The 20,635-nt window shown below is 36.1% G+C and overlaps 1 pseudogene across 1 annotated transcript, besides 1 other annotated feature; it reads right to left on the bottom strand.

Annotated features, from left to right (window-relative positions):
• Window positions 1-20,635: part of a centromere (Linear centromere model derived predominantly from reads generated in PMID: 17803354. This region does not represent an actual centromere sequence, as long-range ordering of repeats and unmapped WGS contigs is not provided by the model. For details of model production, see http://arxiv.org/abs/1307.0035.) that runs on past both edges of the window.
• Window positions 831-17,273, bottom strand: FRG1DP (FSHD region gene 1 family member D, pseudogene; annotated as a pseudogene). The gene is made up of 6 exons (NR_132316.1): window positions 17,208-17,273; window positions 15,000-15,061; window positions 5,944-6,069; window positions 5,106-5,162; window positions 3,202-3,316; window positions 831-935 (listed from the first exon to the last, which is right to left on the bottom strand). The product of NR_132316.1 is annotated as an FSHD region gene 1 family member D, pseudogene (transcript).

Here is a 20,635-nt window from a genome sequence, read left to right as displayed (position 1 = left end):
GAAATTTATCTTCAGGTCCACCCGCACATCTACAAATTGATGCATATTCAATGTTATGTACTGCAGCACTGTTTATAAGAGCAAAAGACTGAAAAAAGCCTAAATTTCCATCTACAAAAGACTAAATAAATTAAGGTACATCCCTAAAATGGAATATTACGTGGCTGTTAATAAAGAGAGAGAGAGAAAGAGAGGAAAAGCAAGACAAAGAGAAACCTTTCTACATTCAAACTAATAGTAGAAAACTCTCCAAGATACAATTTTAAGGAAAAAAAAAATCAAAGTCGAGAAGACTATAGAGGAGGTTGCCTTTAGTGTAAAACAGTTGAAAATTATAAATATATTCATATGTTTATAAAGAAACTTTAGGAGGCTATAAAAAAACAAAACAAAGAGAAAGAGGAACAGGAGCTGGGACACAGGTGAGTAAGATGCATGGCAGGCATATATCTTCATCTTTATATGCTTTTATTTAAAAATGTTGGACCACATGTACATGTTATCTATTTAAAAAATCAGATTTTAAAATACAAACAAGAAAACAAGAAAATGAAAGCTTAAAAAGAGCATGTGGAACTACCAGAAAAAAGATACTAATCCATGGAGATAATGGCAAGGTAGCTCCTAGATGCACTGATTTCTCTACCACATTGTATAAACAAGCCATCAACTATGGGATTTATAATTAAAAATGAGTCTATTTGAAACATCACATTATAAAAGCTATTAACTAAATCTTTAAAGTGACAGTAAATGATGACTTAACATTTTAAAGAGATAGTCACATTGCATGTGTGAATGCAGTCATCTGTATAAAATGTCATCGTTATCTTGATCATTTCTTCTTCTCCTGCTGTTTTACCTTTTGCTTCTATGTCCCCTGTTTCATTACATCTAATAAAGCAGCTATTTGAGGCCAACAAAGCCATTTTACCCTAAGTGAAACAAAATAACAATATAGCCATGAGGATACTTCTTGTAGAAGAAACATTAAGTGTTTAGACTGAATTAATTTTTCCTCCCTGATTTAAAAATCACAGAAAAGAACTTAGAGAAAAACCTGAAAAATATAATACAAGAACATATAGAAAAGGGAACCAAAATCAACTTTCATTTTACTATTCAAAGATTACCACAATAAACATTTATAATGTATCTTCCTAGTAGGACTAAATTCTAATTAGATGAGGTAGGATTGCTTCCTTTCTAAAAGATCTACTGAAGATAAAACTGATTTAGTTCTGTTTGGAAAATTAACTTTAAAGACAAGAACATAATTATGAATGCATACTTTATTCAAATATTAACATTTTAAGTAAAATTTATTTTCTTCACAATTAGAAAACATGAAAATGTATATACAATGCCTTCGGTGTTTGGAATTTAAGAATCAATGTCTGAGGGACTTTTGTGTGTGAAAATAAATATTCATATACATTTTTAATTGTTTAATATTTGATGTATTACACTGGTTTCTATTAAACAAAACTTTAAAAACTGATTTTCTTGTGTAGCTAAATCTGGGTTATAAATTTGGTTAGCTTAACTCCCGTAACAAATATAACGTTTATTTATAACTTGTATTTGGTTGATTCTTTTGGAAAACTTGGAATACCATAACATTTAGACAAAATATTTATAAATACAATGATTACAAAATATGTTAACCTTATAACACATCCAGTTAAAAACGTGCTGATAACATGGATTTAATTTCTTAGTCAAGTCACAAGGGCTGGGTGGTCTCTCATCTGGATGGCTACTGGTGAGCTCTGGAACATGGCGGTGTGGTCCAAGGCGATTTAAACCTGTGCCACAGATTATTCAGCTGAGTCCTTTTTGCAATAGAGTTTTAAGACCCTCTTTCATTTAAATTTAAATTTTTGAAACTTAGTGTCCTTCCTAAAAATAAAATGAAATGAACTTTCCTAAAGTGTTGTATTATTAGTACTATCTAAGTCATCATCCTGGCCTTATGAAATATTGGCATTTTCTACTGGTGTAACTTTTATTAGAAGCATCTCATCATAATAAGTAGAATCATCTCAAAGGGGTTGCAACACATTAGCAGGTAATGAAATCAATGTAGTGTTTCCTGAACGGTATTGGGTGGGTGGGGGCGAAAAGGAATACACACAGACACACAGAGGAAGGGGTAAAAGAGAATAAGAAATATCAAGGTTCATAACACATGGATAAGTATGTATTGTTAAGTACAACTCTTGCTTCAGTTATACATATGTGTGTGCTGGGCTGCAATGTAAAAATGCATTTGTCAATGGATTGGGTCAAAATAGTTTTCAAGTCACCGACTTAAGATTTTATCCTAGGGGATGAGGAAATTAGTCTAAGTGATTACCACTTTCTGGTGGGATGTTTGTTTAATCTGTCATCTTAGAAAACACTGCTGAGTACCTATTTTCAGTTCATTAATGTATACTACCAAAGCTGCTACTCAAAGCTGAGATTATCTTCTATTTGCTTGTTCTGCGTGGTGCCCACTGGTCCTTACTGTTTTTGATATAGTTATCTACTTTTTAAAGACAGTTTAGCACTCATATATTTTTGTTCAATCTTTTCTTCTCACACAAACAGAAAAAGGAAATTATGTATTCTGTATCAACAAAGATTTAACAAAACATCCATATACTACAATTGTTTACTTACTAAAATTAAGAATTAGTATATTATCTTTTTTCTTCTTATATTAAAACTATCTTTTCATACACTATTTTAAGCTTATGAACTGAAAGTCTTTTAGAGATAATTTACTTCAATGAACTATTATTATTTATATTTTATACGCAAATTGTCACAACTTGGTCTTAGCTAGCTCCACTGTTTACTTGCAGTCTGTAATGTTTCTGAAATCATCCATGTTTTCTGCTACAAAGAAGATACTTAGGAACTATTCTGTTTTCCTACTCTGTGACCTAAAATTGACTGGTTCTTCAGTGGAAATGAGATCCATACCTAGGCACTAAGGGTATAGAGAAATAATTGTGGGCAAAAGTACTAATGCTATTTTTGTTGCACTACATTTTGAAATCTCTTTAAGGCTGTATGTTCTTAGTGGTTTATTCCAATTTAATGTATTATACTACTGCATCCTACTTTTTGTTTTTAAATATATTATGATTTACTGTTACAGACTTTGTGTTAAACTGACAGGAAGTTTTTATAAACAAAAACAGCACTTACATTTTGAAAGACTGGTTCCCATTGTTCTCTTGGTCCAATTGCAACTGAACGCCCAACAACAAGTTCATCTGAATTTATACCAAGATATTTTCCATAGCCAGATTTCAGGGTGATTCTGTACATTAATAAGATAGATAAAAGTTAAAAACTGAGAGAAAATTAATTATAGAACATCAAAACAGGACATGTGTATGTGTGTGGGTGTGTACATATCTAAAGTTTCAGACTGGACATATTCCAAGAGTTCAAAAGATGCATGTGGCTGAGTGGTGACTCACTCCTGTAATCTCTGTGCTTTGGAAAGGCAATGGGAGAATTGCTTGAGGCAAGAAGTTCAAGATCAGCCTGGACAACATAGTGAGACCCCATCTTTACAAAAAATTTAAAAAGTTAGCTGGGCATGGTGGTGTGCACATGTAATACTGGCTACTTAGGAGGCTGATGCAGGAGGAGTGCTTGAGCCCAGAAATTTGAGGTTATATTGAGCTATGATCACACCACTGCCCTCCAGCCTGGGTGACAGATTGAGACTCTGTGTCTTCAAAAAAAAAAAAAAAAGCTACATGTGACTAGTTGTTGCCATATTGGATGGTACAGTTTTACATTTAGTTTTATATTTTGCTTTTTTAATAAAAACATTATACCTTGTATATTACATAACAAATATTTTCAAAATTCATCATTCTTCAATTATACCTCTTTAGTTATAAACTTCAATAATAAATTACTAAAACTTTATGTCATCAAACTGTTTTCCAGAAAATGCTGCTTCCATTTACATTCTTACCTCAAATTAGCAGAGTATGGTTTGTATCATGGATTTTTTTTAAACATTATGACTCTAAAAAAATACTTGAAAACCTAATATGGAAAAAAACAGTATCCTACTAATTTGCATTTTAGTAGTTAACTAGAATAACAATTGTTTCTCTTTTCCTTTCCTTTTTAGTTTTTAGATTATCTGATAATGTCCCTTGTCCATTTTTCTATTCAGATTTGATTGTTCGCAATTTTTCTACTGGGGTCTTCAGTGCTATGAATTCTATACAAGATATGTATGAAGAGTAAGAACTCACTGCCTATTAAGATTGTTGCAAATATTTTCTCATTTGTCAGTTAATTTTCTTTATAATCCTTTTTTGTTTATAACTGTAAAGCAGTTTAAAACTATTGAATCTTTCTTCCTCTGCTTTTATTCTTTCACCCTACTTATCAGACTTTCAAAGAAAGTATAGAAATAATCATCTTAATGTGATGTTTTAAAATTATGATTTCTTTTACCTTACCAAGAATCTCCTCGGATGCCAGAATTGACTTTTACTCCTTTATACATTAATGATTATATAACAGAAATCATTATCATGTTGATGTAACCAATTACTAAAATATGTAAATTCACTTTCAGTATCTTTTACCCAAAGAATCATTCTATACTTCTGCACAAGGTGAGAATAAAAAAGGTTACTTTATAAAATGACTGTAAAAATAGTGAGGAAAAATATTCTTTTGGTCGTTATGATGCTGTAACATTCTCTGCTGGTTTTAACAATATTCCTTTTTTTTAGTCTTCCTGTTTGTCTTTAGACTTCCAAACAGTGAGTTTAAATATCATAGCAACAGTGAACCAGGTTTTGTACAAATTTATTTATTTTTTAATTTATCTTATTTGGTGTGTGAAATTATTAATCTTCATTTTTTAACTTACATATCTTTTTTCCAGCCTAGCATTATATATTGATAAGAAATCCACTGAAAGTAGATCACAAAATCTACTTTTCAAAAAAGCTATTTTGTTTTATATATCAAAATTACCATGGACTTAAGATACATACTAAAATTTTTAATGAATACAATTAAATTTTTAAAATAACTGGTTACTAATTATATTACAATATAAGTTCAACTGGAATCAGATAATTTGACAGCCATAAACTGCTCTGGAGGACTAGGGCCCTCATCAACTATTGGAGAAAAAACATTTGAAAATAAATTTGACATTTGCTATAAATATAAAGATATTATTTTGCTTTAAAAAATGTGGCTATTTTCTTCTGCAATTAAATGTAAGAATATTCAGATATACTGATGTCACTGTAATACTGTATCTTTGGAATCAAGATCTATTTTACCTTCTTGTAACTACAGTGTTAATTTTATACACTGAGTAAGACAGGGTGATATAATGCTTATTTAATAACTTTTGAGATAGCTTCTCTTTATGTTTTAAAATACAGTCATAAATAAGCACTTATTTAAAAAAGCTAAATGCTTTCATTTATTCAATGGATGGCCTTGCTGATGAAATGATACTGCTTTTTATCTTCTAATTACTTCGTATCTTATTAGTGCTTTCTCTAATGGGCTAAAGAAAATGAAGAAACTTCAAATTGTTAAATGCACCCAGGTTAGTTTTGGTAATAGGTCTGAATAAAAAAGAAATTCAAATATGTTTGACCCAAATAGGTTTTCTTTTTTCTTTCCACTTACTATTTTAATTATTCATATTGTTTTGATTTCCAAAGATACTCTTCTGGAACCATACGGAATGTTTTCAAATGCTTATATTAGAAAGAGGGACTTGCCAATGGCTGGTAAATATTAAGGAATTAAAAAAAATGGAAGAGTCAAATGCAATGGTTCCATTCCTTTGGAAAATGTTTGAGACTAGTTAGAGTTTGGCCTAAGTGAATGAATGTCCTAAAATCTACACTTGTGGCAGGATCTTCCCTTCCAGACACAAACCTTCTTTGTGTGGAGCTCCCAGGGTAAAAATACCATTGTCGAGTACATGTATATAGGTTCCCTCATCCATTTCAATGGCTATGGTTCCTGAAATTTCACCAAAGTTTGTTACTGTTCACCAGATTCCTAAAAAATAAAAATGATATTTCAATTTTTTATTTTAGTTTTGACAGAGTTCTTTGTTATTATAACTTAGTTTTAAAAACCTTTTATTTTGCAGTCATAAGAAATACTATGAAGATCTCACATATCCTTTACTCGCTTTGTCTCAATGATAACATATTGCATAAGTATCATACATTGTTAGAATCAGGAAACTGACATTGATATAATACATGAAGCTTATTCAGATTTCACCAGTTTTACATGTACTTGTTTGCATGTATGTGCACAGATTCCTGCGACTACCAGCACAGTCAGGATTAGGTTTTTAAAATACACAATAGCAACATACAGTCAGGTATGGGGGTGCATGCCTGTAATCCCAGCTACTCGGGGAGGTGTGAAAGAGGATCACTTGAGCCCAGGAGTTCAAGGTTATAGTGAGCTATGATCACACCACTGCACTCTAGCCTGAGTGACAGAGCAAGGTCCTATCTCAAAAAAAGACCAAAACAAAACAAAAGGCAACATGTGAAGGTACAAAGTGATATATGGAGAACGGTCTCTCTCATGATAGACCCCAGCCATCTATTCATGCCTGCTTTCCAGAGGCAATGCCTATCATAATGCTTCTTAAAAATGCCTCTACAGGAAGACTTTCTAGCATAGTATTTTTTTTTTTTTTTTTTTTTGAGATGGAGTCTCGCTCTGTCGCCCAGAGTGGAATGCAGTGACGCAATCTTGGCTCACTGCAACCTCCACCTCCTGGGTTCAAACAATTCTCTGCCTAGCTTCCCAAGTAGCTGGGGTTACAAGAGCCTGCCACCATGCCCGAATAATTTTTTTTGTATTTTTAGTAGAGACGGGGTTTCACCACATTGGCCAGGCTGGTCTTGAACTCCTGACCTCGTGTTCCACCTGCCTCTGCCTCCCAAAGTGCTGGGATTAGAGGTGTGAGCCACCACACCCAGCCAGTAATCTTAATTATGATTTTAGATTGAAAGCAAAATGAGCAGAATCTATGTCTATGTATACTAATGTCCAATTTGCCAATAGAAATGTTAGAGTCTAGCAACCATTATTTTAGCAGTTGTTATAAAAGTTTATATCTTAATGTTAAAAAATATCCTCAAAACTCCTCCTAAATTGTACTTTAACTAGAGTAGAAATGAGTCAATCATTAACTGGATATGACATATTAAGGAATTCTTGTTAATTTTACAAGGTCTGATAATGACATAGTATAATGTATAAAAGTAAAGAACAAAACAGGTGATGAGAGAAAGACATACCACATTAAGAAATGTACATTTATGAACTTATGGGTAAAATGATGTAATATCTGTGATTTTACTTAAAATTTTCTAGGAAAAACGTGTGTGGGGGTATGTATGTAAACGAAACGAGATTGGCAAAATATTGATATTTAATGGTGGGGCCTGGGCACATGGGGGACTCATTATATTCTTCTATGTATGGATTAGTTTGGATATTTCCATAATAAAAAGGTTTTAAAGATTCAATTAATTCCACTGCACAAAATTTTCTATTCAACTAAACATTTCATGCTTTTCATAATCAATTTTAAAATACATAAAATTTTAGCTAAAATGAAGTTGGATCCTTGTCTAACACCAAATACAAAAAGTAACTTAAAATAGACAAAAGACCTAAATGTAAGAGCTAAAGTTAGAAAACTTTTAGAAGAAAATGGGAAAAGCTTCACGACAATGAATTTGGCAATGATTCCTTATATAGAACATCAAAGGCACAGGCAACAAAAGAAAACGTAGACAAACTGGACTTCATCAGAATTAAAAACTTTTGTGCATCAAGAACCACTGTCAACAGAGTAAAAGGCAACCCGGAGAATGGAGAAAATATTTGTAAACTACATACATTATAAGGAATTAATATCTAGACTATATAGAGAACTCCAGAAAGACAAATACCACAATTCAAAACTGGGCAAAGGATATATACGGACATTGCTCCAAAGATGATATACAAATGGCCAATAAGCACTTGAAAAGACGCTCAACATCACTAGTCACTAGGGAAATATAAATCAAAAACATAATGCAATACCACTTCACACCCATTAGAATGCTATTATCAAAACAAACAAAAAACAGAAACCAAGAAAACCAGAAAAACAAATGTTGGGCAGGATGTGGGAAATTGAAACCCTGTGCAATGCTGGTTGGAAGGTAAAATGATGCATGTATTCAAATGCCACTGAAGTGTATACGTAAAAATAGAAAAACTGGCAAATTCAATATTCTGTATATTTTACCTCCACACACACACAAAACCAATGGAGAAAAAGAAAATTAATCAAAATTAAAATTTCAGCTAAAGACGATTAGAAAGAAATAAAACTAATGACAATTTAGATGACTGAGTTATAGCTGCAATTGTTTTCAGTAAAAGAAATAATGCTTTATTCAGAATCATTATGAACAGTGTTATGATTAGCAAGTCTTTCCTATAAATGTAAGTTAATAATTTTAAATTAGTTTTATTTTGTATGTTCTATGCCACGTTCACCAAGTACACTTAATATTAAATAAAATCATTTAAATATAATATCTCATTAATGTTTTGCAAATGAAGAAGAAATTTCTGGCAGACAAGTTCCTCAAAATTTTCACCCTCTGTCCAAGTAGGGAAATGATACTACAACATTACTTATAATATTGTCAACTGAAAAAGAAATTAATTTGAGCAGATGCCAGTATTTTTTCTCAATGGGATTTCAAAGAATAAGAAAGCTAAACACAGTATCATCGAGAATTAAATGTGAGCATTCTGCCTACTTTCTGCAAGTGGCCTACATTCAACCTTTGGAGGTATGCTTATATGTTTAATGACTAAAGTAACATAACATGATACTTAACGATGCCACTAGGGGGTTTTAGCTGTGAAAAAGCAGTGGATCCTAAGAACAGTGGGCACTGAAGTTGCCTGTCTCTATGTCAGGTGACAGCTCCAGCTGTGTATATGCTGCAGACACACAAGCTGAATTTAAGAGAATCCACTCTAAAACATTACTTGCTATTTAGACATATGCTTAAAGTTATTTCCTTTTAAACCTTAGGCAGATGGTGAAATGTTCCTGCTGGGTTGTCTCACAATGCATAACAAAGCTTTTCACATATTTTCACATAGATGAGAATGTTTCCATATGTCTGGCATGCTTGTAATCCAGCACTTTGAGAGGTGGAAGCAGGAGAATCACTTAAGCCCAGGAATTCAAAATCAGCCTAGGCAACAAAAGGAGACCCCCATCTCTACAAAAAAATTAAGAAATTAGCTGGGTATGGTGGTACAAGGCTGTGGTCCCAGCTACTTGGGAGTCCAAGGTGAGAGGACTGCTTGAGCCTACGAGGTCGAGGGTGCACTGAGCCATGATCATGTCACTGCACTCCAGCCTGAGCAACAAAGCAACAGCCTGTCTCAAAAAAAAAAAAAAAAAAAAAAAACTGGCCCGATGCACCAGTGTCATGGCTGATAAGGTACTATCAGGGCACCCTCATTCTAGCATCAAGCCTGTGTGACAGCTCACCTCACATTCTGACTAACCCAGTTCTTCTGTGCTAAGGACCCCCTTAAATCTCTGCCTTCATTATGTGCTTGGCACAAAGGAATGATATATCTTAGATTTGGAAATGGAATTTTCTTTCCCAATCTTACTGTAGTCTAAGTACCTTTCACAGAACTTCTATTAACCCATAGCTGACTTAGCTTTAGTTCCTGGGTAAATCAAATCTGTGTTTTGCAAACTACGATGTTGTAAGTTCAATTGCTTCTGAATCTAGCAGAGCTCAGTGAAAATCCTTGCTTACAGACATGCTCATTTTTATTAATGTCACACATGGTACTCTCCATGTGAAAGTCAGAATTTCTTTCATCCTATTTACCAATCCCTTCAGATCCTTGTGAGGAACCAACAGAACAGCTTTAAAAAATTAAAAGGTTTTTTTCTTTCCCTTCACAAATAGGCACATGCTTACTTATACGGCAAGTTGAGAAAATCCACAATGCAAAAGAAGGTGGAAGGACAAAGAGAAAAAGACGCAGAAGGACTTACTCTTCCAGCCAAGATGGACTTGCCCTCCCACGATGACCAACGAGAAAACTGAAACTAGATAGAATATTTGAGAAAACTCTTTTCGGGGATTGGAACACAGGCAGAACAGGACTGTAATATTTGAGAACAAGAAAACACAGGAGGCAAATCTCACACACAATTCTGTTTTCTGCCCAATGGCAGTTTCTTGACCATGCAGAGAGGTAGAGACCTCCAGAAATGAGGTAATGTCACTGTCACTAAGCTGAGAGTCTTGCAGTGCTAACATGTTTGGAGTTTATAGAATAAGGTACTGGAGAAGAGGGAACTACATACAGGTGAGGTCTCAAAAGAGTATGCAAAAGTTCTCGGCAGGTCTGGGGCCAAGGGCTGGGGGGGAATGCATAGAGCAGGCAGGCTCCACAAGGCCTCGGCAGAGTGGCTGGCACTTCTGAGGGCTGATTGGAGATGCCAGAGATCACACAAATTTGGGACATAGCAGAGTGGAGAGAACTCACAAAGTATACCTAGAACATGTGGCTGAGACCCATGAGGATGAATCTTTCCTAGAGTAAGTGTCACTGTCTAAGTCTGCAGGCAAAAACCTAATAAATAAGCACAAACTAACAAAGGCCCAGGCTTGTCAGGAGCAAAAGGGTGGTCAAATAATTTAACTAGGCATCAAGACATTTAACAGAAATAAAAGTTAAAATGTTATGAAAATGAAAGACTGAATTTATAAGGAAGACTTAACAATCCTAAATGTGTACACATGACAGCTTCAAAATACTTTAAGCAAATACTGCTCAAGTAGACAGATCTAGAATTACAGCTGGAGATTTTAACATAACTCTCAATACATTGTAGGATGAGTAAAAAATCAGTAAGGACACAGAAGATGTGCATAGTCACAAGCTCCACCAGTTTATCTAACTGACCTCTGAAGAACACTGAACCACCGGGCGCCACGGCTCACGCCCATAATCCCAGCCCTTTGGGAGGCCGAGGCAGGCGCATTGCCTGAGGTCAGGAGTTTGAGACCAGCTTGGCCAACATGGTGAAACCCAACCTCTATTAAAAATATTAAAAAAATTAGCCAGGCGTGGTGGCAGGTGCCTGTATTTCCAGCTCCTCTGGAGGCTGAGGCAGGAGAATCACTTGAACCTGGGAGGCGGAAGCTGCACTGAGTCGAAGATCGTGCCACTGCTCTCCAGCCTGCTGGGCAACAGAGCGTGACTTCATCTCCAAAAAAAAAAAAAAAAAAAAAACCAAAACAAGAAGCCCTGAACCAACATCTGCAGAATACACACTCTTTTGAAGTGTACATGGAAATTCACTAAGAAAGTATGTTCTCCAACTATACTATAAATGAATTAGAAATCAGCAACAATAACATACCTATAATATCTCTATGTAGTAGAAATGAAAAACAATACACTTTTAAATAACTCAAATGTCCATGGAAAGAAAAATCACAAGGAAAACTAGATGATATTTTGAATGGAATGAAAATGAAAGCAAAATGTGTTGACTATAACTAAAACTGACGTGGAATGAAGATATCTAACTGCTTTCTTAAGAAGCAATAAAACAAGAGCAAAGTAAACTGAAAATAAGTTAAAGGGAGGGAAAAAAAGACTGAAAATAAATGAAATAAAAAATGAAAAAAAGACAAAATAAGTAATACTGAAACAGGCTTGTCCAACCTGAGGGCTACATGTGGCCCAGGCCAGCTTTGAATGCAGCCCAACACTAATTCATAAACTTTCTTGAAACATTATGAGATTTTTTTTTCCTTTTTTTTTGGCTCATCAGCTTATCATTAGTGTATTCTATGTGTGGCCCAAGACAATTCCTCTCCTTCCATTGTGGCCCAGGGAAGCTAAAAGATTGAATACCCCTGTATTAAAAGATCATTAATGATCTAAAATAAGTGATCTTATAAAGAATTGATAAACCTCCAGCTAGACTGACTGATCCAGGAAAAAATAGAAAAAACACAAATTACCAATATGAAGAGACTGCAATACAGATTAGATTCTAAGACATTAAAAGGATATTAAAGGAATATTCTGAAAAATTTTATGCCAATAAATCCAACAACTTGGATGAAATGAAATTTTCCTAAAAGACACAAATTACCAAAACTGACAACAGAAAAATCTGAAAATATCTCTTAAAAAATCTTAATTCTCCCACAAAAAACTAAAACCAAACCAAATAAAACCCTCTAGGTTCAGATGACTTCGCTGGTAAATCCTGTCAAACATGTAAAGAAGAAATCATACCAATCTTACACAGCTATTTCCAAAAACAGGGAAGCAGACAGTACTTCCCATCTAATTTTATGACACCAAATATCACCTTGACACCAAAATCAAATAAAAACATTACAAGAAAAGGATACAAAAGTCCAATATCTCCCATCAACACCAATACAGAAATCTTAAAAACAAACAAACAAACACCTAGAAATCAACTCAAGCAATATCCCTAAGGACAACGCACCACAACCAAGTGGGGTTTATCTGAGGGATGTAAAATTAGTTTAAAAGTTGAAAATGAAACCAATGTAATTCATTGGTAGAATGAAGAAAGTTGTATAATCATCTCAACAGATACAGAAAGAGGCATTTGACAGCATTAAACATCGTTATGATAAAAACTCCCAAGAAGCAAAGTTTAAAAGGAATGTCCTCATTTTGATAAAGGTTTTCTCTGCAGATCCTACAGATATCATACCATACGGTGGACTACTGAAAGCTTTCTGCCTAAGCTTGGGAACAATGCAATTATGCCCATTCTCGTGACTTCTGTTCAACACTATGGAAGTCCTGGACAGTATAATAAACCAATAAAAAGCAAGACAAGACTTAAGGATTAGAAAGTAAGAAGTAAAAGGATAGTCACAGGAAACATAATTGCAAATTTCTTAGTTTTCTATATAAACAAACCACTAGAAGTAATAAGTGAAACAGACTTATCAGACTACAAAGTCACTATACAAAAATCAATTGTATATCTACATACTGACAGCAAACAACTGGAAAATCAAATTCAAAAGTTCTACTGACAGTAGTGTAAAATTATAAAATACTTAAGAATAAATTTTTAAACAGGCATGCAAGACTGCTACATTGAAAATTATGAAATATTGAGGCCAAATATTAAGATGTTGATTCTCCCCCAAATAATCTGGACTCAATATAATTCTCCGAGAAAATCCAACAGGCTTCACTGTAGAAATTAATAAACTAATAGTTAGTAAGTACAAAGTTGGAGGACACACACTATCTGATCTCAACACTTCATGAAATTATAGCAATCAAGATAAATATACCAATAGAAAAAAAGACAATCGATAGAACAGAGTCCAGAAATAGACCAATACATAGAAATTTAATTGATTTTTTATGAAGATACGAAAATGGATTAATGCAAAAAGGAAACACCAGTGGTGCTGGCACAAATGGCTATCAAGATGTTAAAAAAAAAAAAAAGTAAATCTTGAAACCAAACTCACACCATGCGAAAAATTAATTTGAGATTAATGACAGATTTAATGTAAAAACTAAAACTATGAGACCTCTAAAAGACAATGTAGAATATTTTCCTGACTTTGGGGTAAGCAAAGATCTCTTAGATCAAAGAGATAAGGCAGTAACCATAAAATAAAAAAATAAACTAAGCTTTATAAAAATCAAAAGCTTCTGACCATCCTGGCTAACATGGTGAAACCCTGACACTACTAAAAACACAAAAAATTAGCTGGGCATGGTGGCGGGTGCCTGTAGTCCCAGTTACTTGGGAGGCTGAGGCAGGAGAATGGCATGAACCTGGGAGGTGGAGCTTGCAATGAACCGAGATCGTGCCACTACTCTCCAGCCTGGGCGACAGAGAGAGATGACAGAGAGAGACTCCATCTCAGGAAAAAAAAAAAAAAAAAAAAAAAAAAGCTGTCCATCCAAAAACCACCATTAAGAAACTGAAAAGGTAAAACTCAGACTGGGAGAAAAGACTGATAACTCCATCGACTCTTGGCAACGATGTAACTGGAGAACTAATTCATTGTTGGTGGGAGGGTAAAATGGCACAACCCCTTTACAAAACTTTTGGCAGTTTCTTATATAGTTAAACATTCACCTATCCTTTGACACAGCAATTCCACATCTACATATCTACCCTAGATATTTACGCTAATTTTAGAATTATTGATTTGCCATTTCAAAAGTAATGATTCTTCCAGAATATTAGCTTTATACCATTCCATATTTTATATATTTTTTAAGCTACCATAAATTATGAAGATTCAAAATGCAATTTGCCAAGTTTTAAAAGAGAAAAACAAGTACGGAAACAACTAAGTGGAAAACAGGCTGGTTAAGTGTGTTTGGGTCAGTTTATTTCTAGTATCATTTACAGGCTACCCTGATATTGTATTTAAAATTTTCATTCATTTCAGAGTTCACAAAATGATGATTTTTCCTGTGAAGATACTTCGTTTAAGAGACAACTGACTTCTACAACTAAAATGTATACATGTTCAAAGAAAATAACTTGTAAAATATATTTGGTTGAATAACATTTACATTAAGCCTTTAAAATTATGTATCAGAATCTCTGGCTATTAAGCAGTCTAATGGTGCCTACTAAGTCAGAGAGTTGTAATTCTTCTCTCCTGTGCTCTGTTCTGATAATGAAGTAAAGGGATCAGTAGCATCTACTGTGCTAAAGAATAAATGGAATTTACAACTGTAGGTAATATTTAAGCACTTTAAGACAAATATGAATACATCATAAATTTCTAACTAGGAAAATATTTTCAATGAGATCTCAAGAAATGTTAACTTTTTTCAGAATAAAGCACTGAAAACTGACTCACCAACATATCACACTGGGTTTCTTCATCTTCTTCTCTTCTTATCTTTCCTCTTTTTCTTCTTACTACAGGACATTATTTATACAGATGAGTTTAGGTATATTGATTTGTGTGATAAATAAATATCGTAAGATTGAAACTTGGAAGTCTTTTAAGCTGTTTCACTTATAAATTATTGATTTAGGAAGACTTACATTGCTATGCCCTCTTAAATACAGTACTGAGAAGTTGCTTCAGGCTTTGTACATATTATGCTAAAGTTCAAAGCAGATTGTAGAGCCGCACTGCCAGATTTTAAATCCTGATTCTGTCACTTCTTAGCTCTGTGATTTTTGTAAAAAGTACTGAATCTCTCTGGGAGTCAGTTTCCCCACTTAATAAATTAGGATAATAACTTAACTCTTAAGGCTATTGTGAGGATTAAGAGGTAATATGTATCTTCACGCATTGCTGGTGGAAATGTAAAGTGGTGCAGCATCTACAGGAAACAGTTTGGGGTTCCTCAAAAAGTTAAAGAGTTACCATATGACCCAGCAATTTTACTCCTAAGTATGTATACCCAAGGGAAATGAAAACATACACCCACAAAAATACTTACATAAGAATATTCACACTAGCATTAGTCACAATAGTCAAAAAGGGGAAACAACCTAAATGTTCATCAACTGATGAATGGATGAACAAAATGTTACATCCATACAATGGAATACTACACAGCCATAAAAAGGAACAAGCGCTACAACAATGATGGACCTCAAGAATGTTATAAGTGAAAGAAGCCAGATACAAAAGGTCACATGTTGCATGATTTCTTAGGAAATATTCAGAATAGGCAATTTCACATAGATAGGAGACTAGTGGTTGCCAAGGACTAGGAGAGAAGGAGGATGGGTTGTGATTGCTTTAATGGGTAGGAAGAGATTTCCTTCTGAGATGATGAAAATGCTGAGCAACTAGACAGTGGTGAACCTCTTGAATATGTACTAAAAACCACTGACTGTACAAAAGGGTGAATTTTATAATTATGAATTACATCGCTATAAAAAAATAAAAACCCAAGAGCGATTTGAAAAAAGTTAATGTGCAAAGTGCCTACAACAATTTCCTGGCGCATTGAAAGTGCTATATAAGCATTAATTATGATTATTACGATAATCTTAAGACACTCTTGTCTCCATTTTCATCATAAAGTTTTCAGAAGATAACTCACCACTCCTCACAGGAAATTCACAGAGTAAAAATCTCACATTCATTCAGGATATACCTGCCATTTATTCTGGCATCTTCATGAGGCCAGACTCCTCGAGAGGGTTCTCAAGGGCAGTGGCTTCAGCTCACTCCTTGACACTTTCTTTCCATCTCGCCTAACAATATCAAAACCTCTGTTTATCACGGAGACCAGAAGGAAATGCTCAATATTTGTATGTACAGTCAACCTCAGGCAAATCTGCCAGTTAAAAAAGAAGCGGGGATATGAATGCACAGGTATTTTTCTCCTAAAGAGCTAATAAATTACCACTACGACCTCCTCCTCACATTTGGCTCAATTTATTTACTGCATATACGTTCTCTAATTTAATCCTCACAGTCTTCTAAAGGTATAAAAAATGGTCTGAAAGTATAAATGTGTAAACGGAGGTTTAAAGATACTTGATCTCTTAATGAGTAAATGGAAGTTCAGACATATTAACCAATTTGCCACAAATTACAAAATTAGTAAATGACGGAGTGCAGGTTCCAGCCCATATCCCTATCAAAGCCTATATACACCTCAACCACTGTGTGATTCATCCTGGTTTCACTCTACATACTAGCTTAGAAAAAAATAATCAATAATTTTTCCAGGAAGAGACAATGGAGAAAAGAATAATCCCTAGTAAAGGAAGTTATTATCATGAACTACAAGATCAGACAAACGCAGACCCACCAGGCAGAGGCCGGGAGAGATGCCTCAGCGGACCCAAACTCATGGGTACGGGGCTACGGGTCACCCGCCCATCTATCCTGTTTCCAGTGTCGTCCACGCGGGAGGCTGCCCCTCTCTGCACAGGCGCCACGAACCGCGGCCCGGCCTCTGTCCAGCCCAGACAGGGTCAGGGCGAAACCTGGGAGGCCACGAAGCCGGCTCTCCGCACCACGGCTTCCACCGGATTCGCGGGCGTGGAGTGAATCCGAAAAGAACTGAGGAGGCTCCCGCTGGAGCTGCAGGACCCAGCTCTTCGCCTTGGTTCCCTTGAGCACAAGCTTGGTAGACTTCACAAAAGAGTACTCGGCCATGGCTCCGGGAGACTTCTACGTGGAGAGGCTGAAGCCAGCTCAGGACGAGTATGTGACCTGGAGCGGCACCAGGGCGGGGAGGAAAAGAAGTGGAGGCGAAGTAAACACTCCCTGACAGCGTCCGTCTATCCAAAACCCGCCTTCGTCTTCACCCAAACGCTGAGTGGCTGAGATTTCCACTTCCGGGTTTCTGCCAAGGAGCTACAGCGGCCGCAGAGGGCCGAAAGGTGTCCGCACGCATCTGCTCCCTGGCTCCCTCTCAAGGAGCCCCTGAGGATTTGTGCATCCCAGAGGTGGGGAAAGCCCGCCTGAGGCACTGGTGCTGACGGTGGCGGGACTGCTGGGCTCGCTGTGGAACCGCCTCCCGCTAGAGCTGCGGGCTGGCGACGGTCCCCGCGGAGGCGGGAAGCGGCTCAGGTTGCCCTCGCCGGCCTGTGGCGGCGAGTCTGGAAGCGCGGGTCACTCGGGGCTGTGCCTCACGCGACTGTGTGTGCAGGAAACAAGCAGGAAATACCCTAAAATAGAATGAAGCTCCATGTTTAGGGCCGCGGATGTCGCGAGTGCTGTGGGAATGTGGGCTAAGGTGGAGAGTTATGGTGGCGCGTGTTACAGGCTCAGGGGTCAGGAAGAAGCCTAATCGTGGAGGCGGCATCTGAGGAGGGTCTTGAACGCTGGGCAGGCTTTTGCCCCATAGAGATGGAGGAAGCTAGTCCTGTCTGCTGGAGGAAACAGGGCAGAGGCAAGAAGGGAGACGTGCAGCGCTGGTGTGAGGAGCCACGAGCAGGCCAGGCCTGTAAAGCAGAGTGATGGGAACCAAGATAGAGAAGGCAAATCGGGGTCCTGTGGTCGCTGAATAATTTGAATGAAATCAGTAAACAGGTGACAGGGATCCATCGCAAGAGCATGGGATGAAACGAGGAGTAGTCCACGGTGATTCCTCCGCAGCGGTGGGTATTAATAATCGCGTATGTGACACCAAAACGGTGGGTATTATTGATAGCGTATGTGACACCAAAACCACCCCACTCAAGTTGTGGCTCTTTCCCTAAAGTAGAAAACAGAAACCAGTTGGGTTCCAAGCATCCATGAAGATCTTACTAAATTCCTGATCCCTGATGGCACCATGGAGTCAGGATTGACTCATCTCAAACCTGACTCAGAAACAAAACCATCTCAATGTGCAGAGATGAGCGTCCTTACCTGCTATCATATTTTCTGGTGTTTTCACAGTGCTGCGCTTCCTAATCCCCATTCCACCGCAATCCACATGCCATGATGCTCAGAGGCATTAACAAAGGAGACACACAGGGGCTCCTCACGTTGGCTTTCCATGGTTTTGATGAAAATCTCAGTTTCCTCATCTCATACAATGTGGTTAGTAATAGTATCATTTAGGGTTGAAGAATTAAATGGTACGAATTATATAGGGTGCTTATTATAACCTACATGGAAAATGCCTAGGATATGTTAGCTATGCTCATCACCAACATCGTTATATGGTGGTAATAATCAGATAGTTAGGAAGCGCGACGCGAAGAAAATGGATACATCCTGTTGGGAATGAACGTAGAGAGATCAGAAGGTCAAGAACAAAGCCATACAACATGTCTGCAGTAAAGGGATAGAGAAAAGAAAGGCTATAAAAGAAGGAATGAAACAAAGTTAGAGTAAAATTATAAAATCAAAGTTAAGGACAATTTCCAGAAAGGGTAATATCATTTAATATCATAGAAGTTTAGGAGCACAAGATGGAAAAATGGCCTGTGGGTAACCGACATTGAGGTAGTCTTTAGGGAAGCTCCATTTCCGATAGAGAAGTAGACAGAAAGTCAGCTTGAAGCAGGGACTAGGTGAAGAAGCTGTTGGCTGGTCTCATGGGGAAATAAATAAGGGATCACATATGCCATATTTCTGGGTTTCTTTCTTTCTTGCCCAGCCTCTATATATGCCTAGAGTTTGGTGAAAACTTACAAAAAATAAAAATGAAACCAATTTAGTTTGTAGACTCAAATACAATGCTTTGTGTTAGAATCAAGATAAATTAATGCCTCTTCCTTCTATTGTCACCATCAATTTTGAAATTAAACATCAGCTTTTCTTCTTCATTAAAATCATTTTCAACTCCTTCCAGGTGTTGGTGGTTTGGGGGAGTTACATAAGCAGTCAAGTCTTGATGAGTAGAGGCGGAGGGAACAAACACTTTCAGCAAAGGGAGAATTCTGAAATTCTGCTCATATTTTTCCCCAGTAACTTTCCTATGTTTGTGAGGATATTCAGTCATAAAGATCCTAGTGAAATTTTTTTCAAGCTTGCCTAATCGTAATCACTGTGGACGTTTGTTTAAAATGTGTATTCCCAGGCCTCTCACCTGCTGATTCTGATTCAGGAGATCACGGATGGGACTCAGAATACATGTGTTTGAGAAGTACCACAAGTGGTTCTTATGGTCAGGCAAATTTGGGAATGTAACCAGGAATTTATGTTTTTATGACTGGCAGCTAGAAAAGATTCCTAGAGTCTTTGCTTTTTGAAAATGAAATATTTCTTTTTTAAAAGGAAAATTGTATGACTAGATACAACATTTATACATGTGGCACATGCACTATACTGTGTGCTTTTGTCATATTTACAGTTAAAGATGTGTAAGAACACTCTGAGAAAAATTATATATTAAATGCAAAGAGGGGTAAGTCAGGGTGGGGGAGAAATGGGAATGGTGTGCATATTGTTGCTAAAAGGTAGAAAAGCCAGAATGATAGCCATCTAAGGTTGCAAATAGCACATTGTAAGTTGAGGGAGCTTCACAATCATGTCTGAAACCTTCTTTGATATACTGAGTTGTAAACAGTGGCTTTGGACAAGATTTGAAGGAGAAACCAACTATGCTTTAAAGTATTCATTTAAAAGGCTTTAATTAAAGGAAAGTCTTTGTATTTACTTGAGCTAATTTAACTTCAGGACTTTAACAAATTACTAGCCCTTAACCTCTTAAAAATTGTCTTTCATTTCAAATGAAAGTTTAATATGGCCTTTATGTTGTATTGGTATACTTGTGCGAAGACTTAACAGCAAGGTACTCTACATTTCTAAATGTTTACTTCTTAATTTTGCTGGAAGAAATATACTAAATTGATTATTTTTAAAGCAAAGTAAAACAATTTATTTTGACAAGCGACACAGTATTTTCCCAGTTTTCAGGTGGCAGAGATTAGGCTTAACATCACTAATCATGAGAGAAATGCAAATCAAAACCAAAATGAGATACTATCCTATACCAGTCAGAATAGCTACTATTAAAAAATCGAAAAACAACAGATCTTGGGAGGCTGTGGAGAAAAGGGAACATTTACACATTATTGTTG

The sequence above is a fragment of the Homo sapiens genome, chromosome 20, assembly GCF_000001405.40.
Source record: "Homo sapiens chromosome 20, GRCh38.p14 Primary Assembly".
In the NCBI taxonomy this organism is placed as follows: Eukaryota; Metazoa; Chordata; class Mammalia; order Primates; family Hominidae; genus Homo; species Homo sapiens.
The sequence above is the reverse complement of the archived record's forward strand: the minus strand, read 5'-3'. Positions and strand labels throughout refer to the sequence as shown.